The sequence below is a fragment of the Homo sapiens genome, chromosome 5 (assembly GCF_000001405.40).
Source record: "Homo sapiens chromosome 5, GRCh38.p14 Primary Assembly".
In the NCBI taxonomy this organism is placed as follows: Eukaryota; Metazoa; Chordata; class Mammalia; order Primates; family Hominidae; genus Homo; species Homo sapiens.
The window spans coordinates 143,221,690-143,234,386 of NC_000005.10; the positions used below are offsets into that span (position 1 = coordinate 143,221,690).

A 12,697-nucleotide genomic window follows, 5' to 3' on the forward strand; every position below is an offset into this window, starting at 1 on the left:
TTTTTGTATATTTTGTAGAGACAAGGTTTTGCCATGTTGCCCAGGCTGTTCTTAAACTCCTGGGCTAAAGCAATTCACCTGCCTCAGCCTCCCAAGGTACTGGCATTACAGGCGTGAACCACCAGGCCCAGCCTCTAGAAGCTGGATATCTTTAAAGAGTAGTTCTTAGCAGTCTTCCATGGGCACTGCACTGAGTACATAGTTGATACTGGGCAGGTGGGTGGGTGGATGGATGGAAGGAAGGAAGGAAGGAAGGAAGGATGGAAGGATGGATACATGTATGGATGGACCAGGACAACTGTTGCCCTCTAACAAGAGTAGGAATCTGTCACTTCTTTGTAGTTTAAACCAGGAGCTTCAGAAAATCCGTGAAACCCCTAAAATTGTACACAAAATTTTGTATGTCTGTGTCTGTTTCCTTTTTCATTGTAAAGAAAGTTCAGGACAGCTTTCATCAGAAGGCTTATATTCCACAAAAGGTTCAGAACCTTTGGTTTAAACTTCTAGAATGATGTAACTTAATAAGTGATTGTACTCATTGTCCAAGCTTCCTTCATACACACACACACACACACACACACACACACACACACACCCCACACACACATCTGCCGCCTGCTCTATCTGTAATGCCATCTCTTCTCGCTTTCTCTCCCCTTCCTGTACAGTTCACCCATCTCAGGAGCCTGGCTGGTTGGAGGGGACTCTGAACGGAAAGACTGGCCTCATCCCTGAGAATTACGTGGAGTTCCTCTAACCGTGGGCCCCAGCAGAACTGCTGAGCTTTACATGGTATCCATGACAACTGCTGATTCCAGTGTCGAGGCCATTTCTCTTTGCCACTGAGAAATGCAGCGTGACTGACTCTGTTGCTACCTGTCAACATGAATGTTTCTGTGAGCTCTGGTGTCACTCATCTCCATGATCATCTCAGCCAACATGCATCAGTACTGCAAGAAAAGAAGTCAATCAGCAGAGGAGAGCATTTGATAACTAAGAGGAAGACTTGCAAAGCCGTTTTCTCATGAGTACCCTGAATAGGGGGCACTCATTTTGTTTCAACGGTCCAAACGCCCAACCTTCAGAAAGAGGAAGTCAGATAGAAATAGTCCCTGAGAGCACACTGTGTAGCTAAGCCTGCTGGGGCTGGGTGAAGAAATTGGCGCTGAGATCCAGGCTGGATCCATTGCTTTTGTTTACAATAGGCACTCTCTCTACCCCACCTCTCAGTACTTGAGACTTAAAGTGCTACAGGCAGCTGGATCTGTTTGCATGCAGGATGAAGAGGGTTAAAACACTGTTTATATAAGATCCAATCTCTCACCATCTCTAAAGCAGCCGTTGGCCTGTCATCAGTGAGATACAATCCAGTCTTCTCATGCACGGGAACACACACACCCTGCGTTTCTCCCTCCCAGGCTAGGAACCTCTCTGCCACCAAGGGCTGCCATCCATCGCCTAGTAACCACGGCAACCCAACCTACTCTAAAACCAAACCAAAAAAATAAAATAACACATCCTCTTTGCATGACACATTTTTTTTCTCCCCTTTTTGGTACACTTTTTTTGAATGGTTTTCTAACAACTTGAAGCACAGGATCAAGGAATTAGGGTGGTCTACTTGAGGCAGATGGGATAGTAGCTGGGAACTGTTCCCTTTCTGATTAATTTCAGCAGCATCGGAATATATTTGGAGCACACCCTAGTAACCTCTTGAGATTAAATTACATAGTCTTAATATTTCTGTTCCTCCATGCAACTGATGTTTGTTTTTTAAAGGGTAAGATGCTGCCTCCCAATGGGTGATGCCATCTGACTGGTTTCCCCATGTCCTCCCATTCACCCATCTCTGCTCCCACCCTTGCCTGCCTCTAACCCACCACTGGCCAGCCCCCTTGCCCTACTCTGGGCTGCTGAACACTGGTGCTGTGGTGGTTTTCAAGGTTAATTCCTAGGCTAACCGTATGGCCTATAGTTTAAAAGCACATCTATGTTCACTGCCACTCTGAAAAAGGGAATTATTTCTCAGTCTTTCAAGGCTTGAGACTAATATAGGCCATTGTGATTCAGGAAGAAACCCAAGGTTGGAGGGTGGGATGAGTACCCTCTGAAAAAGGGAATTTGCTGGTGAAAAGAGGCTGGATCTTGTGGAAGACTGTCTTGGATGGGGAAGTACTACCTGGAGATTTCAAATTCACTTGGCCTGCAAACAACAGAGTTATCCGTATCTTCCACATGTGAATGTCATTGCAAGGGTGACTCTAGACAAACTACAAACCGATGGACCGTCAAGCTCCCCAGGAGCCCCTTGGATGGCAGCGTTGCTTCAGAGTGTTTCCTGTTTCTGGAATTCCTTGTTAGGGAACTTTAAAGAAGAAAAGAAAAACTTGAATTGTGTTGAATTACTGTATCTTTTACTTTTTTTTTTTTGAAAAGATAAACTTGTAAATAGAGTGATTTGAAATACTATATGGCAAAGTTTTATATTTGATATTCTTTAAGTTAGTTGCTCACACACTTAGGCTTTGATTGCTGAAGAAGTATGTTTAAGAGGGAGAGAGGGGAGGCAAAGCTGAAGAGAGTCAAGGTCACTGTCCCCGCTTCGGCCTGAAGGAAAGAGAAGACATTTCTATGGCCTTGCTCTCTGCTGTCCTGTTGGTGGGCACGACACATCAGTGGTGTTCAGTCTTTATGTGTTTTTAAGCATCCCTTGGGCTTTGGATTTGGAGATGGGAAGAGCATCTCCAGGCAATGAGTTTTTCAAAGAATGCCTACTTAGTAGTAAGATGAAGCTCAGGATTTAAATAAGTGGGGTCAGGCATTCGAGTTTTTGTCTTTCTTCTCAGGTGTATTTCTTGGTACCCCCAAGATATCAGGCCAGAAAGAGATGAGTCAGTTGCTGTGCTCTTTACTTCTTTTTCTCCACATCTTCTGAGGCTTTAGAAATGTGGACAAGCTAGTTTTCAAATTTTGTGTGCGTCTGTAAGTTCTTAAAGAACCAGCTTCTTAGAATGTTCAGTTCTCAATGTGCTGCTGCTTTCCCTTCTCCTAAACATTTTAAAACTCTTCCCTTTCACCTCCAATTCCCGTGATCCCAAAAGAAGAGGAAGACTCCAGGAGGGGTATAGATTGTGCCGTCATAGCTTTACAGGTGGTTTTAAAGTTAACAGGGGTTTGTCATGGTGATTCACTACTCAGTTTATCAGCTCAAGGATTATACAGCTCTTTTCCGGGAACTCACCCAGGAGCAAGCGAGACACTACCATTGAATCAGGGAATGAGAATTAAGAATGGACAGGACCAAGACAGAACTCAAGAAAGCCACTGGGGAAAACTCGAGAAGAAAGGGAGTATACTAGTAGGTTAGATCTGTGAACCTGAGGACAAGAAGACCTTGGGAAATGGAGGCCTCAGGGGATGTGCATTCACATACTATTACGCTTCTCAAAGAGAGACCAACATCATGCTTTTAACACATTTGATGAGGTTTTTTATTTGTGTTTTTGTTTGTTTTTTGAGATGGAGTCTCACTCTGTGGCCCAGGCTGGAGTGCAGTGGCGCAATCTTGGCTCACTGCAACCTCCACCTCCCAGGTTCAAGTGATTCTCCTGTCTCAGCCTCCCAAGTAGCTGGGACTACAGGCATGAGCCATCACACCCAGCTAGTTTTTTGTATTTTTAGTAAAGATGGGGTTTTGCCATGTTTGCCAGGCTGATCTCGAACTCCTGACCTCAAGTGATCTGCCCACTTCAGACCCCCAAAGTGCTGGGATTCCAGGTGTGAGCCGCTGCGGCCGACCACATTTGATGTTTGAAGTTGTAATCTGTCCCATCATAAACTTACCTGGAGCTCATGTGGAGGAACAGAAGGCCAAGATCCTTGCTTTGGGGGTGCCTCACGAAGCATCCCTGTAGACATTTGGCCCCAGCTTCACTGCTTGGAAGCATGTCCCTCCCTCTTGAGTTGGCTCTGATTTGAAATCGGGAGAAACAGAGCTGCTGCCAATGGGATCTTTTAGGTAACTCCCTCCCTAGCTTCCGTGTGTCTGTGCAGTGCCCATGAGCTGCTGCCAATGGGATCTTTCAGGTACCCCCTCCCCAGCTTCCCTGTGGCTGTGCGGTGCCCTTGACAGATGGCTTCTCTGTTTCCCTTTGCCCAGCCAGGCTCCCCTCCTTCCTATTAGCTACAAAACTGGATAAACTTCAGAATATGAGCCAATGAGTAGGAAGGAACTTGAAGACTAAAGATTTTACTCTCTCCCCTATCCATGCCCCCTACCTCTGACTCTCTCTGTGTGAACAGGAAACTTTAGGGCAGATGAGGAGAATGAATTGGTTATCAGAGTGGAAGACCATGGCCCAGGATCCCTGAGCTTTCCCAGTAGCCTCCAGTTTCCTTTGTAAGACCCAGGGATCACTTAGCCATAGCCTGAATCTTTTAGGGGTATTAAGGTCAGCCTCTCACTCTTCCTTCAGGTTACTAACAAAATTTCGTAGCTAAAGAATGCCATGGCCGGGTGCAGTGGCTCACGCCTATAATCCCAGCACTTTGGGAGGCCGAGGCGGGCGGATCACGAGGTCAGGAGATTGAGACCATCCTGGCTACGACGGTGAAACCCCGTCTCTACTAAAAATACAAAAAATTAGCCGGGTGTGGTGGCGGGCGCCTGTAGTCCCAGCTACTCTGGAGGCTGAGGCAGGAGAATGGCATGAACCCAGGAGGCAGAGATTGCAGTGAGCCAAGATCACGCCCCTGCACTCCAGCCTGGGTGACAGAGCCAGACTCCGTCTCAAAGGAAAAAAAAAAAAAAAAAAAAAGAATGCCATGCCAGGAGAAGACAGCTGGTTTCAAATCCCTGCCCCCAGGCAAGTAAAACCCTGACTTGCTCAAGACAGAAGATCTTTTCTCCTGTTTTTCAAAATAAACATATATAGGGATGGACCCTGTGCATTGTGGCCTGCCTTGGTGTCCTAGAATTGGAGCCAGTCTTTAGCTTAATGTCTGAAGTATTTATACGGCCAATATGTGTTTTCTTATGTCAGACCACACTGTCTTTTTGAATATCAGTTCATTTCCTCTCACCGAGTGCTTTTCGGTGAGAGGCAAAGAGAAAGAATGAACAATCAAGTATTGACAGACTGGCATTAGCAGGACAGAGCCATACTAGTGACAAGGGCATCCCAAGGCACTTGCCCAGAGCTGCAGAGTTGTGTGTGCCATACCTGCGGCTCAAAGGGAAGGCCTTCTATCCCCTGAGTTTCTATCAGCTGAAAATGGCAACTGCTGTCTCAGTAAAAGCTCTGTCTTGACTGCAGAGGCTCCAAAAGCATTCACAGTTGAGGGGGAGAAAGACAGAAAGAAGAAGCCAAAGATAACCTGATCCCTGCCTGTCTGTTGGCACCTGTCATCCTCTGGCTTCTGCTCCCAAAAGCAAGTCTGGATGACTGAGTTTTGTGGACATGGCACTCCCGGAGACAGCAGTGGCCACCATGGCACCCAGAGTTTGCCCAAGTACTGAATGTTTTGTGAGCAACCATGTTCCCCAAGTAGGTAGCCAGCGCTGCAGAAACCAAACAGCCTCTTAGCTACCTGACTTTAAAAGGAATGACCTAGGTGTTCTGCCAAAGGAGTTATCTATCATCTCTGGCAAACTTGACAATCATCACTTACCTCGACAACCCTGCCCCACATCACTTTATAAAGTCAGCAGGATGTCTTCTCACCCACCCTGTGCTGGTGTCTAACAAATTTATCTTGTCATGCTCAAATGTGTTTGGCAGCCACACCGATCGGCTGGGTGCTGAACCGCCTCTCTGTAATTGTAGCATCAAAATGACAACAGCAGCAGAGCAGCGAATCTTGCACAGCCCCACAGCATGCCTGAGACAAGACTCCAACAAGTAATAATTAGCTTTTTTTCTCCTGCCGCCTACAGTACCTGTCTAACTAAAGAGCTTCCCAAAGTGGAGGGAAAGGCCATAGAATCCAGGTGTCATTCAGAGCCAGTCCTTGCTGAAATGTGGTCTTCCAGTGGAAGCACCTGTATTATTGAGAGGAAAAAGTGTTGGATGCAAAGTAACACCAGGACTAGAGAGAAAGAGAAAGGTGAACCATCCTAAGGAGCTTTGGATACTTTTTTAGAAGGATAAATATTATGCTTACTGAGGAGAAAAAAAAAAGCGATCACAGAAAAATTTCACAGCTAATATTTTTACAAAAGTTGTGCCAGACATTACAGAGTGAAAACGTCTCTCAAGGTGGAATGCTTTAGAGAGCAAAGGCTTAGCATAGACCTAGACCCTTGTGTGGGTATGACATGACATGACATGTCCATGTCAAAATTCACTTTAGTCAGAACCAGAGTATTGATAAACAAAATGTCAGTTACCTGGAGCAGTCCTGGAGAGGTTAAGACATTCTATACTGTTCTACGTCAACCATTTCTACAAAGTTGTCCAGACACCTAAAAGCAGCTTTCTTGGTTATCCAGATGCCAGAATCAACCTTGTATCTGACAATGCACATCTGTTGATTCTAAAGTATATTTATGTGTGTGTGTATGTGTGTGTATACAGCACATATTTACATCTATGAAGACATAGACACTTACAGAGACCCACATGAGCTGGCACTTTCTGAGCCTTTACAGCCTTTAAGACTCGGAGGTTGAGAATTAGAGACACAAGAGAGGCTGTGGATGGCCTATTAAAATGATTAAAGATGTAAATTCAGTGCCATTTTAAAACTGTTCATATTTATCAAACAATTACTGTCTACAGCTACATTTTTTGTTAACTTACTTAAAGTCATGTCGCAAGAAAGATCAAACCCATGAATGCTTAGTAGCTAAGGCTAGTGTTCAAAAGCACTCTAAAAGACATTTTGTCCACATTTTGGAAAAGAAAATATTTGCATGTTTAATTCATAATTTAGGCTATCTTTGAGTATACTGTAAAGTGCTGTGTGATATAATATCAATAAAGTACTTATTAAATGGCACTTTAATGTTTTCTTTTAAAATAACGCACTGTTCTAAACTTCAGTATTGACTATTGACTCGTGCATAGAATCCAATGCTGTAATTAGAAAGTAATCTGTGACTAGAATAGACCTTTGTCCCTGTTAGTAGCCCTGTTGCCATGTTCAGGCTTTTAAAAAATGCTTTTGTGTCACCAAATATATCTATAAAGAAAACAAAATTTCTGTTCAGAGGCCTCTGAAACTTGGCTTTCTTACATGTGGTTGGTTTATGTGACAATCCCTATGAAATGAGTGGACGTATGATTTTTGAATTAAATGACTTTTCCATTTGGTGGTATTTTCTTGAGTTTCTGATAGAGTTTGACTCAATACATGCTTTAATATGTCTTCAAATAAGCATATATACATGATGATCAAAGGTCACAAGTCTCGGCTCCTGCGGTTTTTGGTGACAACCACCGTGCTTATTTCTGATGAGCTCTGAGAAGCTTTGCTTTCCATTTAGGAAGAGGTCAGATGCTAGGAAACTTGAGAATTTGCTCCTCAGGCATATTAAACAATTGAGCCCGAAGAGTCATAGTCCACTTCACATTTCTAACGTTCTTCTCTTAGAATACATATTGTTTTATTCTTCCTAAATTTGACTTTCTAATCACCTATTTTCTGAAACCTCATGAACACAAGGATGGAATCATCAGAGCCAGAACACAGGCAATGCCCCCAGCACAGCTGGTTTGTAAGTCTGTTGTTTAGAGCTTGTTGCATGCTGTCCCAGGCCAAGCCAGATCACTGAGTCTTCGCATTCATCATGTCCCTTCCAGATACATTCTGAGTGGCAGCCTGGGACCCAGGCTTCCAGTGAGCTCCCAGCTTCTGCCACAAGCACAGAGGACTCCCTGATGGGCTCAGTGGAGGCGGCATGGGGAAGCCAGCGCTCTGGGGACTGAGGATGAGGCTTCTGGCTTCAGATGCTTGCCCTGGGAGGGGAGGAAGGGATGTGAAGCTCCCTTGGTCCTGGTTCTAAGGGGAGGGGGGCTATTTAAATGCGTGGGTCACATGTGAGCTGTCTGCTTGTCCTCATTTGCCACTTCGGGCACTCGTTTACCCCTGTGAACAGCACAGGCTGGCAGCAGCTGCTGCCCTCACTGAGTTGACAGCCTCCTCTGGAAAACTCCCCCAGCACCCAAAGCGTCCCACATGTGTGGGTCATCCTGTAACTAGGCGAGGCTTTCTGAGTATGGTGTACATCTATGTCTGATCCTTCATGGAGAGAATGAAATACGTGGTGTGTATTTTATCTTTGTCCTTGGCCTTTCCAATAGATTTCCCAATCACTTCAACTTTCATGCCTTCCTAGCAGAAGGTTTTAATTTTGTTTTGCTTTTAACAGCCACTCAGAGCAGAGCGCAAACTGTCACGTCCTGTGGTTTTGCTTGGTGTTTTTCACTCAGTTCTGACTGCATGATTAGTCCTAAGAGCACCTGGGTTAGAAGTGGATTTGATTGACAGTTGAAATTAGGTAAATGTTAGAGAGTGAGTGTGATGAGAGATTTTCTCAGACCCCAAACACGCTTGCTCATGAGAATTAAGTCATGGCTCTAATTTCTTATTTTCTCAGTTCTTTCCCAACCTCCACTCAGATACCACACTTCTCTCCTACCTGAATGTGTCAGTGTCATTGGCTTGCCCTGCTTTTAATAGCACCAAGCTAAGCTGCCACTAATTAACTATGCGGGGTTAGTCAGTGTTGGCTGACTGCAGCCTGCACAGCAGCCAAGGGAGGCTCTAACCTCCATGGTAACTGCTCGGGGTGGGTGAGGTTTGTCACATGGAGGAGCTTTGCATAACCATCCGCAGGGAAGGGGCATGCCCATGCCGGGATGCATCCTTCAGAAAGCCACCCTGCGGTACCCAGTCAACATCAGACAGTGAGGACCAAAGCCAGAAGGTTTTAAGTTGAAATGATCAACACGGAGACCCTCTGTATCCCACAGCACTTAGCAACTCCTGTCGCACTGTAAATCTGTCACGTCTCTTACGTCATTGGCTCCATGAAGCCTGCTGCAACTTCCTATTAGCTGAAAGCCAGGTAGCTTTGATGCCTTCCCCAGGCCAACCAGCAAATTAGTAAAAACGTGAGTCCATGGGTTCTTTCTTTAGGTGCCAAATCACATCTTACCCTCCAGGTCTTGTGCCCACCGTAAACTTGAAATATTTGTTCTGACACTGTGGCTGGATGTCCTTTTGGGATTTGTGGGTGGGGGTAGATTATTGGAAAGAATTATTAACTGTTTTTCTACCTTTTCTGAATCTTCGTGACAAAGAAAAGGAGTAGTCATGCTTGCCTCACCTGTGATGAGCAAGTTGAAATTATGGCCGTAGAGGATGGCCATCTTTCTGTTACACCTTTTCTCCTATCACACCATTTTTCTCCCTCATGTACTTTCTACCTATAATTAATTCATGATTTGTCATCAAATGTTTGAGGCCCATCTTGCTCTTAATAAACAGCTCAGTTAGGACAGAGACCAGGTCTTGTTCATCTCTGCCCAGTACCCAGCCCAGGGCTGGCATGCAGCAGGTGCTCATAGCCCCTGGGTGGGCTGACCAAGGGGAAAAAAAGTGGGGAAAGCACTGCACTAGAAGGCAGTTCCTCCTCCCTGTTTTACTCTACAGTTATAGTTGGAAGAAAGAAATTGCATGTTATTACACTTGGGTACTTGAACACAGGGTAACTTTGTGACCCTTGGCAAAACGCACCATTTGCTCACATACTGGGATTGGAGCTTGTGGGAGGAAGACCTCCCACCCTCCACTCAGGCACACACAGCCACATTCTTTCCCAGCCTCCTTGGCTGGTGCTGGGCACAAGAAACCATCTGGAGAAGCAGCTGACCAAGAGCCCGAGACCCTGTGCTGTCATCTGGGTTACTTAGGGGTTGTTTCATGAACCTTATGTGAAAAGGGCCTGCCTTCAAGCAAAACCACATCAGAATCACCCCCAAACATAAAAGAAGTATTCCTTTGTAAAGTCCCTTCACGGAAATTCCACACTGTCCCACAGGAGTTTGGTCTGATATCTAACACTCTCACTGAGGGAATTCTTTGGGTCTGACTGAAGTTTCCCATGTGGCAGCTTAAGTCCATTTCCGTTCTGTTTTTCCTTACAGTGGGGAGTAACTGGCCATGGCCCATTGAGAGCAATCACCCTCGATTTTTTATGTTTCCATTCAGCCATCAGTTATTGACCACCTCTTCCATGCCGGAGCTGCTACAACCAGGAAGTGTAAGACATGATCTCTGTCTTCAGGGAACTCAAAATTGGCTTCTGCCATAGGGAAATATACAAGGAACAGCGTTTGCCATGTGGTATGACCATACTAGCAGTGTGTGGCAGGTAGTGCAGTGCGATGAGGAAGAGGCATCCTTCCTACTGGGAAATAGGAACCAGAGAAAGTTTCACGGAAGAGGTGGCATTCAAGATGGACCTTGAAAGATAGAGAAGAGTTTCCCACTTAGGCAAATGGAGACATGTCCCAAGCAGAAGGACAGCAAGGATCAAGAATGAAGGGGGGAGAGAGAGAAATGGGGAAGGTGGGAGTGGGGAGAAAGAGCAGAGAGAGAGAGGTGGCTGGGTGGTTAGGTATGATTTCAATGTGACTGAAACATGAGGAGTCAGGGCTTTCTGGAGAATTGAAAACTCTAGTCACCCTTACCCACCCCGCCTGTTAGCCTTTAGGCTCTGTTTTCTCTCAATGACTGACAATATTAGCTAACATTTAACTAGGTACCTAACGCTGTACTATATTAATCACTGAATCCCCAAGACATTTGAATGAAGTTCTATAATCATCTATAATTATAGATGAGAAAACTGAGGATCAGGGAGGTCACACAAGCCAGGTGGCGGTGAACCTAAAGTTCAAACACAGGTCTCTCTGCTTCTACAGCCCATATGACTTTTTTTTTTTTTTTGGAGATGGAGTCTCAGTCTGTTGCCCAGGCTAGAGTGCAGTGGTGTGATTCCAGCTCACTGCAGCCTCCACCTCCTCGATTCCAGCAATTCTCCTGCCTCAGCCTCCTGAGTAGTTGGCATTACAGGTGCAAGCCACCATGCCCAGCTAATTTTTGTATTTTATTTATTTATTTATTTATTTATTTTCAGTAGAGACAGTGTTTCACCATGTTGGCCAGGCTGGTCTCGAACTCCTGACCTCAGGCAATCTGCCTGCCTCAGCCTCCCAATGTGCTGGGACCATATGACCTTTTAAAACTTCCAAATTTATTTATAGATACACACACATAATTTTACATAAATGCATAATCACATCACACGTGATCACTTTAAAATTTCGTGGCAGTTTTTCCTTCTGGTTTTGATTTGGTTCTTCCATCCCCCACATCAGCCTCCTCCCTTTGCAGAACCCATGTTGACAACCTCATTTTGCCCTTCTCAGCAGTGAGCCCTTCAGAAAGCACAATCTCTGGCACACACTCAGCTTTGGTTTTCCAGTGGCAGGAATAAGAGCAGGAAATGTTTGGATTAAAAATTTTCTTTCCTTCTAGGAGCCCTCTGCTTACTCATCTTGGGTGAATAGTTCCCCATTTCTTGAGCTCTGTGCAGATACTCCTCATTCCCTGGGCAGCCCCGGGGACTCCAGCTGCAAGTGTTGGCCAGTCACTTCATCTTTGGGGATGTGGCATGGAGGCAGCCCCCACAGAGGGCCCAGCCGTGCTTTGCTGGCTGGAAATATGTAATGTGAAATTTTTAAAAAATTTAACAATGTGAGGCCGGACACGGTGGCTCACGACTGTAATCCCAGCACTTTGGGAGGCTGAGGCGGGCGGATCACGAGGTCAGGAGATGGAGACCATCCTGACTAACATGGTGAAACCCCGTCTCTACTAAAAATACAAAGAATTAGCCGGGCGTGGTGGCAGGTGCCTATAGTCCCAGCTACTTGGGAGGCTGAGGCCGGAGAATGGTGTGAACCCAGGAGGCAGAGCTTGCAGTGAGCCGAGATTGCGCCACTGCGCTCCAGCCTGGGCAACAGACCCAGACTCCATCTCAAAAAAAAAAAAAAAAAAAAAAAAAACTTAACGATGTGAAAATGGCTCCTTTCTCCACCCCGATCCAGCTGCCGACAACAGACCTTCAGGCTCTATGGGATTGCCAGGGAAATCCCATGAGCGTGTGTCTTCTTCTGGGAGAACCAGTGTGTTTCTAACCCGATCTTCTAATGCTTAAAAATAGATCATTTTCATGGCATTTGAACCCCCTCTTGAGCCTAATGAGATTTAAAGAAGTCAGAGCTAGCAGAGAGAGCACGAAGACTCAAAGCAGATGATGGGTGAGTATCTGTAGGGCACAGGAATAGTGGGAGTCAACTAAGGTGGGCTTACTGAGCAAGACTCTCACTCAAGTCTCCTACACTCCCTGAAGGGGGCTAAACTGTTGCATGTTAAGAGGCCAGTGATGAAGTCTGTCTCATTGATGGAGCACTTCCATGTTATGGGCATTGTACTAATTGCTCTACATTAGTCTCATTTAATTCTCAAATCAGCTCATGAAATAGGTGCTGTTGTTACCCTATTTTGTAGATGAAGAAGCCAAACATTAGATTGGGCAACTTGTTCAAAGTCACAGAGTTAATAAATAACAGAGCAGAGAATCAACCCCAGTGGGCTGACACTAGAGCTTAACGCTTAACTCCCA

General features: G+C 45.4%; 1 protein-coding gene across 14 annotated transcripts in view, besides 1 other annotated feature; it reads left to right on the forward strand.

Moving 5' to 3' along the window:
• ARHGAP26 (Rho GTPase activating protein 26) overlaps nt 1-7,322 on the forward strand; it is a 458,635-nt gene extending 451,313 nt beyond the window's left edge. For 13 of the 14 annotated variants that reach the window (NR_146198.2, NM_015071.6, XM_005268402.5 and 10 more), the window contains one exon: nt 669-7,322. Coding sequence is in view for 13 of the 14 variants with exons in the window: in NM_015071.6 (NP_055886.1) it covers nt 669-757 (89 nt within the window). In the remaining variant the exon portion in view is untranslated. The remainder of the gene's footprint in view (nt 1-668) is intronic. The other variant, NM_001135608.3, reaches the window with a different exon arrangement.
• Nucleotides 7,880-7,939: an enhancer, noted in NCBI's record as "active region_23335". NCBI's record gives its function as "activates an Ori minimal core promoter by ATAC-STARR-seq in GM12878 lymphoblastoid cells {active_cell/tissue: GM12878}" and the evidence as "EXISTENCE:reporter gene assay evidence [ECO:0000049][PMID:35858748]".